Below are 14,835 nucleotides of genomic sequence, written 5' to 3' on the forward strand. Positions count from 1 at the left end.
AGGGTTCACACTGCCCTGTACTTTATGGGAAGCAAGCCAGCAAGTCCCCTTAGTAGTTGATCGTAACCTTGGCCTGCAATATCATGATCAGCAAATGATGCATCATTAGGTGTCTTCGACTGAGAGAGGAGCAATTACCCCATGACAGCAGGATCAGAGAAATCAGACTGATCAGGATAAAGAACATAACAAACAGTTGGGAGAACATGAAAGAATATATACATACACAGCATAAAAAATGTAAGTGCAGTTAAAATATCATTACACTAAGAATCTAAAGAATTACTGGGTTTCAGCTCTGCCATTTCTGCTTACCAATTCAGTGACCATGAGCAAATGACAACTTCACTGAGCTACATTTTCCATTTTGAAACATGTAGACCCTAAAGTCTGCCAGGATTATGGTAAAGAAAGCATGAGTCCTTATGCAAAGCATGTGTTGAATACTATTCACTCTTAAAACCATATTATGCTGGAACTGTGAAAGAGAACTAAAGCTGGCTGAAGGAGGGCCATAGGGAATCTGATTTTGTTTCCTTCCTCCCTGTATAGTTCAGGCTTTGCAAAGTAGTTTGGTTTAAAATCTAGGTGCTATTTTCTAGACAGAGTAACAATTTCTGTTTACTGCTTTTATTGGCCAGGCCTTGCCTCCCAATCCAGACACCCAGTTCTCATTCGCTCTTTAAATAACAGATTATTTCAGGAAACAAAGTTATTTTTCTCTACCTTGGAGGTGGTCATGGTGGTGTTCTTGCCCTTGCTCATCTTCTAAGTTAAATACAGTTACCCAGCCCAACACATCCTCCTGATGACCTCATGCTGAACCTACTTTTGAGCATTGTTCTCTGGGCTAGCAATCATCTCCAGCCTTCTCAAAGTGTCAAGGCAGCGAAACTTGGGGTTCAAGAAGGTTCTCAAGTTATTGAAAGAATGTTCTTCACATGTAATGGGTTGGTTCTGAAGGTGGCATAGTAGGTTTTGCCCCATTTTTCTTTCATGTATGCCATATTTCTGCAGCTAAAGGTGAGAGTATTGAAAAACATTAACATAAAACTGAGAGCTTTGATTTTTATCTTCATGTTTAAACATCTAAGGGATAACAGTAAAGTAAGTATGGATTACTATAGAAGACTCTTGTACATTTCAGTTGCCATTTCTGCACAATAATTTATACCAACTCTTAAACTACAAAACTTGTTTGTTCCTTTATTAATTTATCAGCTAGCAAAATATGTACTTGCTGTGACACTAGTTAAATTATTCACAGAGGCACATGTTCTATTAGGCCCTTTTTTTCTGGGGCCCATTCTGGTGATTTTAAGAAGCCAAGATAGGTGGCTTGAAGATTTTGACTTTTGCATAAACATTGTAAGAGCTCATTCATTCTCAGTGCTGTTCCTGAAACTTCATCATTTCTCCCTTTGTGAATATTATTTGATATCTGATCGTCTTTGAAAAAACAGTTTTCTTTGGGCCCCTTAGCTCACCAGTGTCCTCTGAAACAACCTGGTTTCCTTGGCATCTCCCCCTCACCCTAATTTCTCTCTACTTGTTGCCTCGTATCCAGCAACCTCCAACTTATTGATTTGGCTTGATTTAATTGGGAGCGCCCCATACCCAGGACAGGTTTTCCCAGTGGCAGCTGGGAGTATGAATCTAATAGGCCTGGTTTGGTTCTGTGACCCTCTGTCGCCCCTTTCTGGCCATAGCCTGTCACTGAAGTTTACCCTCTGGACTTGATAATACAGACAGCAGCCGTAGTACAGAACAGTTTGCAAACTATCAGCCTGTGTGCCAAATCAGCCCAAAGAATGCTTTGTTTGGTTCGTATAAATTATGCCAACATTTAAAAATTAGCAGACATATTAGTCCATTTTATGTTGCTGTAAAGGAATACCTGAGGCTGGGTAATTTATAAAGAAGAGGTTTATTTTGGCTCACAGCTCTGCAGGCGATACAAGAAGCGTGGTGCCAGCGTGTGTTTCTGGTGAAAGCCTCAGGAAGCTTACAATCACTGCAGAAGGCCAAAGGGAGCAAGCATATCACATGGTGAGAGAAGGAGCAAGAGAGAGAAGGGAGGGATCCCAGATTCTTTTAAACAACCAGCTCTCACATGAACTGCCAGAGCAAGAACTCACTCATTACCAACGAGATGCCACCAAGCCATTCATAATGGATCTACCCTCATGACCCAGACACCACCCACTAGGCCCATATCCAACATTGGAGGTCACATTGCAACATGAGAATTGGAGGGTATACACATCCAAATTATATCTAGAGATTTCAGGGCCAGGTGTGGTGGCTCACGCCTGTAATCCTAGCCCTTTGAGAGGCTGAGACAGGAGGATTACTTGAGGCCAGGAGTTCAAGTCCAGCCTGGGCAACATAGCAAGAACTTATCTTCACTTAAAAAAAAAGTCAGATGTGGTGGTGCTTCTGTAGTCCCACCTATTCAGGAGGCTGAGGTGGGGGAACTGCTTGAGCTCTGGAGATGAGGCTGCAGTGAGCCATGATTGTGCCACTGCACTCCAGGCTGGGCAACAGAGCAAGGTCCTGTTTTTTTAAAAAAAAGAGATTTTATATAAAATTTACAGCTTCTCTTAACATAGCAGAAGATCTGACAATCTTAGGCCAGCTTTCTTCTTGTGGACAATCTTACTCTTGCCCACCACTCATGGTGTAGACTGGTCATTTGCATCTAGTGCCTGCTTCACTCATTTCTGTTGACTGCCTTGTCCCAACAGGCATTTGGACTCCCAGGTCAAGTACAAAAGTTTATTCAAATAGATGTGGTTTATTTGTGTGTCTTGGGGAGGAAGAATGATATCTAATTTCTTTTATGAATATGCTCACAAAAAGGAATTAGAAATCAGATTGAGATTCTTTAGTACATGAAGGTGAAAATTGGGTATGTTTTCTTCCCATTTACAATATATTTGTACCAAGATTCACTTTTTATCAAAGAGAAACTTTTCTGCAGTTTAAATTGTAGGATGATGGAGTTCTGAATATCTTAGGTAACATTATTATATGGATGAATATATTTGCATTCTATCAGGTTGAATATAGAAAAATCATTATATACAGATGTTAAAGAAACTATACAAAGTACTAATGTATAAGGAGTGTGTGTGTGTGTAACCGTCTAATGATTCATGTTTTTTCTCTTTTTTATTATACTTAAGTGGAGTTTCCAGGGCAAACACAGGTATACAGTCATAATGATAAATTATGTAGTTTAATTCAGCTTCACCAATGATAACTCAGATGCCATTTTCAAATGCATTGTGAGAACGGTTTTTTCACGTTTGCTTCTAATTCCAGCAAAAACACCTAATTATAGAACAACAGTAGCAAAAAATAAATTTTGCTCAGGGAAAAAGGTTTTATGAGTAATCAGTGCAAAGCAGAAATCTCTTGCTGCGAATAATGTGGGCCAGCTAAGGTTTCTGTGAGGTTTTTTGCTTTGGCGTGGTTTGGCTTTGTACTGCCTGGGTGACCTCTTCTTCTCATCCATCACTTCATCAGAAAATCAAAAGACAGCAAGCTCCTAGCCAGACTCTTGTTCAAGATAAACTCTATGACCTCCTAACAGGTTACTAGATCTTTTATGGGAGTTCAGCTGACCACATGACTTCTTATATTTGAGAACTTATTCATGAGCCAGCAAAGCTCTGGCTAATGTCACAGAACTTGACAGCACTAGTGCTGTTCATGGCTTCATCTTTAGACATAGCTATTCTATCCTGTTCCCTTTCAGAAACTCAAATGAAGGGCCGCGTCTTATAATCAAACATTTCAGATAAAACAGCTTATTTTTCCCTGAGAGCATATGTGTCTTCTATTAATCCTAATCAACTAGGGACAGACTGAAAAGAACACTCTAATAAGGTAATAGTACTGAGTATTTTGCTGTGACATCCCACAAAAATGAGTTTTCTGTGGGATTTGGGGAGGAGGTAAAAAAATGACCAAGAAAAAAAAGACCTTCAAGAATTAAATGGCTTAGAGATAAAGCATATAAAATAGGAATGCTTTTATTGCTTTTGTATTTTCTGAGGACAATTCTGCCAGTGAATCCACAAAATTGTATAAATACAAATATATCACATTTGCCTGCTGTGATTAAATTTCTCTGATTACACAACTATACTTGATACACGGGACCAATGCATCATTTTTTTTTTCCTTTTGTAATCATTGTTATATCCACGCTTATAATCAACATTCATCACAGCTAATTAGAGTTTCTTTGTCTGTTGTTTCTGAGATCTGACATTCCTAGAGTTCAACTACAAAATTCATTTTTAACCATCTCTCTGCTTGGGGAGTTGGAGGAAGACAAATGCAAATTCCAGGGCTGTATTATTCACGAATGGCTTTCTGAAATTTTCATGTACTATGATTTTTTTAATTGAATTTAAATGATTACTCTTGGAGCCGGAGACCAAGTCCTGCTTAAAATTTTGCAGGACACTCCTATGATTTGTAGGTACATTCCTATTGGTAAAAGAAGCTGGCAGTCTTTCTTGTTAAAGATTTTGTAGATTTATATAGATATCAAAGGATATATATTTTTGTTGCATTAGATTGACATTAATTTCTAAAAATAAAATGCTACAGATTTACATCACTTACCAGTTCAAAGCTTTTGTTCACTCTCAAATGCTGTTTTCTTCTAGCAAATGTTTTTAATTATGCACACTTTAAATGTGAAATTACAGTAATAAGAAAGCTAGTTAAACTTTAGCTAGTCTATTACAAACAAATTTAATCTACTTTCTAGATGTTAATTTGAGACCAGAGTTTTCCAACTCACAGCTCTGTTGTCTCACCTGGAAATTCCATCTCCTTTATTAAAACAACTGTAACCTTTAAAGCTTTGATAGAAGAATAAACCTAACTGAAAATGAGTCACTATGGTATACATCCTACCTTCTTTATTTTGTGTTGTTCTACTTTGTTTTCACAATTTTCTTTAATTTGCATTTTTGTTGCTGCTGTTTATGTCCATACTGTGGACTGAGTCATTCCCAAATAAACAAACCAATATTACTGAGTAACCATTTCAGTTCCTGCTCTTGATAAGTTCACAGTACTCTGAAGGATGTAGGTATGTGAACACATAATTAAAATAAAACTGGAAAAGGTCTATTAGAAAAGACATAAAGCAATGGTAAGTTTGAAGAGAAAATGAAAAATCAGAGAGTAGTGGTGGGGGGCTTTATAGAAGAGGTGATATTTATTCTGAGACTTGGAGACATTAATGGTAGTTAAAGGTTATGAGGTGGCATTCTGTGTCAGGCAAGGTTCTAAGCAATTAAACTGTAGTAATTATTTTAAACCTCAAGAAAATCCTATGAAGTGCTATATATTACGCCCATTTTATAGATGAGGAAATGGAGGCATAGAAAAGTTAGGTAACTTGACCAAGCTCTCTGTGCCATATTTTATTTTCCAAAAATGGCTGTAACAATCTCTCTCTCTATTTAAATTCTTCTCAAACCTTGCCATTACCACAGTAAAAGGGGAGGTCTAGGTCTTCTGCTTGAATTGTATTGGTTTGGGACTGGCATGAAACCTACAGAATGTGTCAGAAATGACAAGAAGTCACTTCAATGGCTAGATCAGGAAAGAAGATACAACATCCACCTTAATCACTGGAATACTGCTGGAGCCCCAAGCTGCTATGCTTGGAGCAAGCCCAAAGTAGCCTAAATGAGAAGCCACCAGGGGAAGCTAGAGATTGAGAGAGAGAGAGAGAGAGAGAGAGAGCGAGAAAGAGTAAGTGAGTGAGTCTGGGTAGCCCTCAAAAGCTCTAATTCCTCACTGCCCTTCCAGCTCCAGCCACTGATTACAACTGCATGAGAGTTCTGGAGCCAGTAAGTACTGCCTAGCCCAGCCTGTCCCAATGTCCTGACCCACAGAAACAGTAAGATAACAAAATAATCATTGTTTTCAGTCACCACATATTGGGGTGATTTGTTGCAGAGCAATATCAACAGAAACAGTTACACAGTTAATAAGTGGGAAAGCCAAAATTTGAACCCACTCTGACTCCAGAGCTCCTCTCCTACTCCTATGCCAGAAAACAAGTCTTAAGAAGATTTATGGATATTCCTTCAGGTTTAAGTAAAAACCTTCATGTTACATGAATGTGTGTAAAAATCACTTCTTGAAATCAATATTCAGAGGCACAGAAAATGTTTTTGCATAGTGAGCTCTTCCTTTTATGATTGAAAATTAAATGAAGTAAGAATAAGAGAATGTTTAATAGGCTCATAAACATGTCAGTTGTCACAATTGCAAAAGCTGACTGTCCAGTGATTGGGTAGATATATATTGCATCATCTGGGTAATGACTTCAACCATATTAAAATAATATGGCTGTTTAGATAGGGAGGGGAAACAATAATTTTTTTTAATGAGGGGCAATAATTTCTAAATATGTAGCTTGGAGTAGGGAAGACTAAAGCTACTGTGGAGCCAGAAAGCTTGGATTTAATGATTTTGAATTTTAATATTGCATTTGCTTGGTTTACAGCAACTCGTTGAATTGTATATACCACACTAGCCAGTAAGCTTACTTAGCATGAGAATGAGGGCTTATCTTTTATAATAATAGTGAGGTTGATCCTTGGATAACCTGGGTCCAGCATGAAGATGTTTTATAAATATTTACTAAGTGAAGGAATGACTATAATCTCTTAGACCCTAAGTTTTCTTATTTATAAAATGTAACTCACTAGTTGAGTTTGCTTGTCATACCTTAGACCAGGAAAGTTTCCAGGACATAAAGAGTCTTGTACTTCATAAATAAATGAATTTAAAATGTATCTCCTTGACATGTTGAAGGATAGATAAATGTCATGTTTAAAACAAATATTATTCGCACTAATGTGACATCTGTTCCTACCATTGTCTTCTAATGATGCATGAATGAAGGAGGATTTGAGAATTCAGCTGAAAGATAGATTTAGGACATCTCCTTTTACTTCAGGCTATAGAGGCTCATGTGATTTTTTTTTTAATGCTCTTGTGGGATACAAGTTTCTCAATTATGGCTACCACAATTGGAAAAGTTATATTCCACTATTATTAATAATAAGACCTACTCTACCTCCCTGATGTGTGAAGTTCAAATGAAACCCTAAATGTGAAAATATGAAGCAAATATACAAATTTTGATTATGTGAAACAATATATAATTGGTAATTGTAATTATTCATTATAACTAATTTGTGTTATTGATAAGGTAAGGAAAATATAGACCACAAGAGCTAATTGAATTTATGTCATCAGATTTCTGCTAGTTGTGTTGTAAATTTGTGCCTGTGACTTTTTGCCTTTATGGAGAAAAGCTGAGAATTCACTGCGACTGTACATTCTTCAAACATGCAACCTTCCACCACATCACACAGTGGACCCAGCTTTTGGAGCTACTTAATGAGAATTATTTATAAAGTTCATGAGGAATTTGAATTAAAGGCAATTTTCCTTGAAAAATGATATGGTTTGGCTGTGTTCCCACCCAAATTTCATCTTGAATTCCCAGGTGTTGTGGGAGGGACCCGGTGAGATGTAATTGAACATGGGGGCAAGTCTTTCCCGTGCTGCTCTCGTGATAGTGAATAAGTCTCACGAGATCTGATGACTTTATAAAGAGGAGTTCCCCTACACAAGCTCTCTCTCTTTGCCCACCACCATCCGTGTAAGACGTCACTTGCTCCTCCTTCTGCCATGATTGTGAGGCCTCCCCAGCTACGTGGAACTCTAAGTCCATTAAACCTTTCTTCCTGTATAAATTGCCCAGTCTCGGGTATGTCTTTATCAGCAGCATGAAAACGGACTAATACAGAAAGCTTCCTTGCTATGAATTAGACAAAAAGAAAACAAAAAAAGGAAGAGAGAGAACAAGTTTCATATGTAACTAACATTTGGGAAACAATGATAACAGTATTAATGTCATACTTATTGAGTCCTTACTTTAAGACTGTTCATTCAACATGTAATAATTCATTTAATCTTCACAACAACTTATGGAGTAGGTATGATTTCTATTACACTCATTTTACAGATGAAGAAACTGAAGAATAAAAAGAATAAGTGAATTATCCAAGTAAATACAGAATGTCAGTTTCAGATGCAGTCCAAACCCCATAGCCCTGAGCATGTCACAATAGTTAGTATGTGATTATTAATTTAACTGAAAATTTCAGTTAAAAATAGCTTAAAAAACACCCCAAATATTTTAAATATAACCTAATTATTAACAGATAAAGACTACAGTAAGAAGGTAAATCATTTTAGAGTTAATTTACTGATTTGTTACAAGTCTAGTGAGAGATGACATATGCTTCAAGTCAACATAACTTTAGTTTTAGTGTTTTTATCACCTTTTGAAAAGTACTTTAAAAATAATTTTATCTTTAGAAATGTTGGCTTCATTTTGTGGCTACGTTATCATATAATAGCTCAGTTTTCAATATTCTGGTTTCACTTATTTAAAGTAGCCATAGTTTAATGTAAGTTTCTTTCCTACCGAAATGTGACTTGATTTTTTCCATAACACCCTTTATTAGGTGAATTTCTGCTGCAACTCTTTTAAAAGTCCACTAGTAGAAATATGAAAGAAAAAATATAAAGCATTTGTGTTTAGTACCTGTGAGTGCACTTATGCTGGGTTTCAAAATTTACAAGGTATTTTCATAGGTAGTATCACAGTTGTATTTCTTAATATTTCTATGAAGTATCATCATCCTCTTTTTCAAATGAGTAAGAGGAGGTTCACAATAGTGAAGTGAATTGCACAGAATCTCACAGAAGTGGTAGAACTAGAATTCAAACCTATATCTTCAGTGCCTGAAGTTCAACATTCTGTTGCCTGGTAACTATGATTGTCCATTCCTCCTTTCTTTATCTCCACTATCAATGATGAATAGTATAAGGAGGAAGTTGGTTGAGCCTTAGGAGACTCATGAAGGTCAAGATTTTTCTTTTTTGAGGCTCTCAGTTTGTCCCTAGTGACTAAGAATAAAACAACTTACTCAGGTCTTGAAATGGAACTGCATATACATCATTTTAAGTAAAATCCTAAAATTAAAACCATTTATAACAGTTATTCCATTAGTATTATCTAAATTCTTCAGAACAGATAATATATTTATTATACTTCATGTATAATTTTATATTCTAAACAATGAGAGCATAAAGACCAAAACATTGTTTAAATGCACTTCCCAATTATTTGTGGGCATATATGAATTTTCTAGAGATGTTGATTAATGCCATAGCTCACTTTAACCTACAGAGAATTACATTAAGCCTGAGACCTAAAGAGAAATTGACTGGTTGAAAAGCTAATTGCAACAAAAAGCTTAGGTCATCACTTCATGAAGTCTATTGATTTGAAAATGACTATGATACATAAGATGTGTTTGCACTTTTTGGATAATTTTCACAAAGCAAATACACCCAATCTTTTTTTAAAAAAATAAGCAAAAATATACATGCTAAATTGAATCAAATATATTTGGTTTGGAGAAGGATGTGAATTAAATTGAAACTCTTCTCCTTTTGCCTCTTCATTTTATGTTGTGCCACCTCTGTTCTGTTTATTTGACACATCCCTGAAAGCAGTATAAGCTATCACTAAAATTGTATAACCACAGACTAAATGGATCACACAACTTAAAATAGAAGTCTGTTTTAGGAAAATGATCAAATATTAAGGATCCCAAATCCACACATTTTTTTAAAAATAAAAATTAATAACTTATTTGTGTAGCTAATTTAAACAGAACTTTTATGTGTTTGCAGCTCTATTGTGTTTTTTGTCCTACAAGCAGAAATGCAACACTGCTCTTACAAACATCATATTTAATTGTTGAAGAGACTGCAGTATGCCATTACAGATGGATTGATAGCCTTGATGATATCATTGAACTTTTGTCGTGCCTAACCTGGAAGACTTGCTATAAGCCAGAAAATTTTTGTCATTCATTTTGCTTCTGAAAGGCCAGATTTATTTACAATCTTGAATGACATTGGACACATGCACGTGAAACAGCCTGAAATCTATCATGCAGTGAATATCTTATAAAACTGCTACTTAAAATACTAAGTATTGACCTGGTTTTCAGAACCATCTTCAAAGTCAACGACTTTCAATTTGTTTACTTATAAACACTGATTTTCAGTGGATAGTAACAACTTTGTATTTTCATTCTTTTTTTTTCCTTGAGTAACCAGAGGCCACCAAACATGCACCATGTTTTCCTATTTTTTTAAATTAAGTGAGAAACAACAGAATGAGAAATGCATGTATATGTCTGTTATTTATTAATATCAATATGTAACTGATTAGTGAAAATATACTAGTAATAGAGTTTATCTTTGGGTGGATTATTCAGTGAATTTTTTAAAAATCTCAGCTTATACTTACATGCAGCAAAATTGCATAGTAATAGTGCTGTCAGTGAAAAAGCAAGATTGTTTTTGAGCTTTCTGTGTTTTGGAGCAAAAATGTGGCATATGTTACTATGAACTTGTAATTCCATCCATATTAAAACTGAATTTATGTTCAGTACAAATTAAATAAGAAAGCAATTGAGCACCTTCTGTGAACCAGGTTTGAATTTTCAAGCATGTGATAACAATAGCTAGTGTTTAGCTAATAATTATAATACTAAAATCTACTGCTTATAGAGTTTATGCTAGAAACGGTGCTAAGCATTTTAAAAGAATTATCTAATTTGATTCTCACAATAGCCTTATGAAGTAGTTATTTTGTTTCTCCTTACTATAGAGATGACAAAATTAAGATTTATAAAGTTAGGGACTAATATTTCATAAAGGAGTTTACTTTGTGCTCATTTGTGCTGTAGTAGATCAAGACCTAATTAAGCCATATTAAAGCCATTCCATTTGGAATTGTCACCTATCCAGGGAAGCTGCCTGCCTGTTAAATTTAGTTTTCTTGAAAGGGTTTAATTTTAAATTTTTATTTTTATAGATTTGGTTAATACAAGTATAGTTTTGTTACATGGATATATTGCTTAGTGGTGAAGTCTGAACTTTTAGTGCACCCATTGCCCAAATCATGAACATTGTACCTGACAGGTAACTTTTCCATCCCCATACCACTCCTATCCCCACTCCCACCTTTTGGAGTCTCCAGTTTCTATTTTTCTACTCTGTATGTTCATGTGTGCTCAGCATTTAGCTCCCACTTATAAGTGAGAACATGCAGTATTTGACTTTCTGTTTCTGAGTTATTTTGCTCAGGATAATAGCCTCCATTTTCATCCATGTTGTTGCAAGGGACATGATTTCAATGTTTAGCTCCCACTTATTAGTGAGAACATTGCAGTATTTGACTTTCTGTTTCTGAGTTATTTCACTCAGGATATTAGCCTCCATTTTCATCCATGTTGTTGCAAGGGACATGATTTCGTTCTTTTTTTATGACTGAATAGTACTTTATGGTATATATACAACATTTTCTTTATCCAGTCATTCATTAGATGGATACTAAGGTTGATTCCATGTCTTTGCTATTGTGAATAGTGCTGCAACAAACATACAAGTGCAGGTGTCTTTTTAATATAGTGGCTTATTTTCCTTTGAGTGGCAGAATTGAAGTCGTTCTACTTTTAGTTCTTTGAGAAATCAGTGTTTTCCCTAGTCGTTGTACTAATTTACATTCTCACCAACAATGTATAGGCCTTCCCTTTTCTCTGCACCCTAACCAACGTTTGTTGATTTTTGACTTTTTAATAGTAGCTATTCTTACTGCTATAAGATGGCATCTCATTTTGGTTTTAGTTTGCATTTCTCTGATGATTAATGATGTTGAACATTTTTTCATATGTTTGTTGGCTGCTTATATCTCTGTTTTTGAAAATAGTCTGTTCATGTTTTTTGCCCACTTTTTAATGGGGTTATTTGTTTGTTTGTTTTCTTGTTGAGTTGTTTGAGTCTGGATATTAGTCCTTTTCTGGATGCATAGTTTGCAAATATTTTCTCCCATTCTGTAAACTGTTTACTCTGTTGATTATTTCTTTTGCTGTGCAGAAGCTTTTTGGTTTAATGAAGTTCAATTTGTCTACTTTTGTTTTTGTTGCATTTACTTTTGAGGATTTAGTCATAAATCCTTTCCCAGTCCAATGTCCAAAAGAGTTTTTCCTCAGTTTTCTGGTATGGACGTGTGACATCCTTTCTTTTCATCACACTTTCAGTGTATAAGTGTGGGTTGAGTATTCAGGGGAATACATGATCTCTTCTATAACTTCCACTAACGGTATTCTATAATGCTGTCATTATAATTTGAATGTGAAGAGTTCTTCTGATCGGAAGCCTTCATGTGCATTGCTGTTTTGTCAGGCATGGAGCAATCAACTGATAGATTGATACAACTTTGGCTGTAGAAATTGACTAAATAGAATACTGACGTTCCATATCATGGAGTAGCTTTAAGCTCTTTAGAAAGCAACTCAACAAGCAACATCTTGAAGATCATTCATTTTAGAAAACCACACTACATATTTTAAAATTCAGGTGAATACAGATTTTGTACCAAAAGTGATAAAATTGTGCACCATGGCAGAAAGTCTATAAAAAGGAAAGATGGTAGTATGAAACTTTAGGAAATGTTTGTTTTATTTGTTGTGCAATTTTTCCTGAAAGTATGCTTATTGCAAAGAAGTTGGGGAAACAGGCAAATACAGAACAACAAAACAAAAACCATTCTTAGTCGTTTTTTTTTGGCGGAGGGGGGCTGGGGAATGGAGTCTTGCTCTGTCACCCAGGCTGGAGTGCAGTGGCATGATCTTGGCACACTGTAACCTCCCCCTCCTGGGTTCAAGTGATTCTCCTGCCTCAGCCTCCCAAGTAGCTGGGATTATAGGCATACACCACCATGCCCACCTAATTTTTGTATTTTTAGTAAAGGTGGGGTTTCATCATGTTGCCCAGGCTGGTCTCTAACTCCTTGTCTCAAGTGATCCACCCACCTTGGCATCTCAAAAGTGCTGGGATTACAGGCGTGAGCCACCGTGCCTGACCAGTCTTTTCAAATGAACATAGTCACTGTTAGCATATTTGACTATCTCTTTTCATTTTTTTTCCAAAAATATATATTGATAGATAAGCAGATACATATGGAATCACCATCGTAAATGTAAATATAAGTAATAAACACATCTTTAATATGTCAAGACATTGGCAGAGGTAAATAAATATTACTTTAGAATGTGACTAATTGTTAATTATGGTATAATGGTTCTTTGGATGTGTCATAATCTACTTAAAATTCGACTGATATTTAGATAGCTCCTATTTTTTTCTGTGATATTAAAAATACATAAATCATTATGCACATTGTGATTATATCCTTAAGATATGTTCTTGAGACTGGGTGTGGTTGCTCACGCCTGTAATCCTAGCACTTTGGGAGGCCAAGGCGGGCAGATCATCTGAGGTCAGGAGTTCGAGACCAGCCTGGCCAACATGGCAAAACCCTGTCTCTGCTAAAACTACAAAAATTCGCTGGGTGTGGTGGTGGTCACCTGTAATCCCAGTTACTTGGGAGCCTGAGGCAGGGAGAATCACTTGAACTGGGAGGCGGAGGTTGCAGTGAGCTGAGATTGCATCATTGCACTACTCCAGCCTGGGCGACAGAGCGAAACTCTGTCTCAAAAATAAATAAATAAATTAATTAATTAAAATAAATAAATAAATATATATTTTCTTGAAAGTAGAATTGCTGCAGAGAAAAGTATATGCATATTCTGATATTTGTAACCACTTGAATTTCAGAAACTGTTCCTACTTTGTGCTCCTGTTAGCAAAGTATGGTATGGCCTTTTTGCCACACCTTTACTGCCTTTACAGCAGCACTGATTTTCATCTTTATAAATTTCATAGAGAATTAATAGGATTAATTTTATTTTGGTTTTACTTTTTTACCTACCAATAAGATTCAACAGCATTTGACATCTTTTTTACATTTTTATTTCTGACTTTTTAAATCAATTTATTTCCTTTTATTAGACTCAATTTCTGTTTGTGAATGTTTACCTTTTCCTTATATACATATAGTTAATATAAATCTTACATATGTGTGTATAGATATATATGTATAGATATATATGATATGTACCCTTCACCTTATGTGTGTCAATATTGTTTTCTTCATTTCTTATTTATCTTTGAGTTTTGGTCACTCTGAATAATAGAGTCTAAAGTTTACATGGGAAGTTTATCAGCCTTTCCATTTATGCTTTTTAACCATGGTGTTATTCTAGCTCCAAAAATGTAAAAAATATTTTTAAAGTATCCATAGCTATTTTATATTTTACTAAAATTCCATCTAAGCAGAAAGGATATTTTAAGTCCTTTTTAATGTTATTTTTATTTACTAATTATTTTGACCAACAAAACCACTAATTGTCTTTTATTTCTTAACATCTGCCAATGTCTGTCCGATCTTACAGTTTGATTTGATAATGGCCAAATTTAATTTGATATTTGACATTTGTTAATAATGTGCATAATTGTTAGGTTTAAGGTAAATAGACATATGTGGAAAGGGACACTTATACATGATATTCATTATTTTAATGTATCTTTATTGATAATTTTCTCTAATATTATCTCACAGAGATACAGTTGTTCACATTCCTTATGAGTAAAAGGCTTTGCTTTCAATTCTCCCATACCAGATATGACAGCCTAAGGAAGAAATTTTCAAATATTTTCATCAATCAAACTGACCACTTTATTCAAACAAATTCTAAATTGAGAGCTATCCAATATGTAAAACACATTAAA

At 35.3% G+C, this 14,835-nt stretch overlaps 1 pseudogene across 1 annotated transcript in view; it reads left to right on the plus strand.

Moving 5' to 3' along the window:
• Positions 1–14,835, plus strand: part of EGFEM1P (EGF like and EMI domain containing 1, pseudogene) — a 581,078-nt pseudogene that overhangs the window by 369,839 nt on the left and 196,404 nt on the right. The gene's annotated exons all lie outside the window — the stretch shown is intronic.

The sequence above is a fragment of the Homo sapiens genome, chromosome 3, assembly GCF_000001405.40.
Source record: "Homo sapiens chromosome 3, GRCh38.p14 Primary Assembly".
Taxonomy (NCBI): Eukaryota; Metazoa; Chordata; class Mammalia; order Primates; family Hominidae; genus Homo; species Homo sapiens.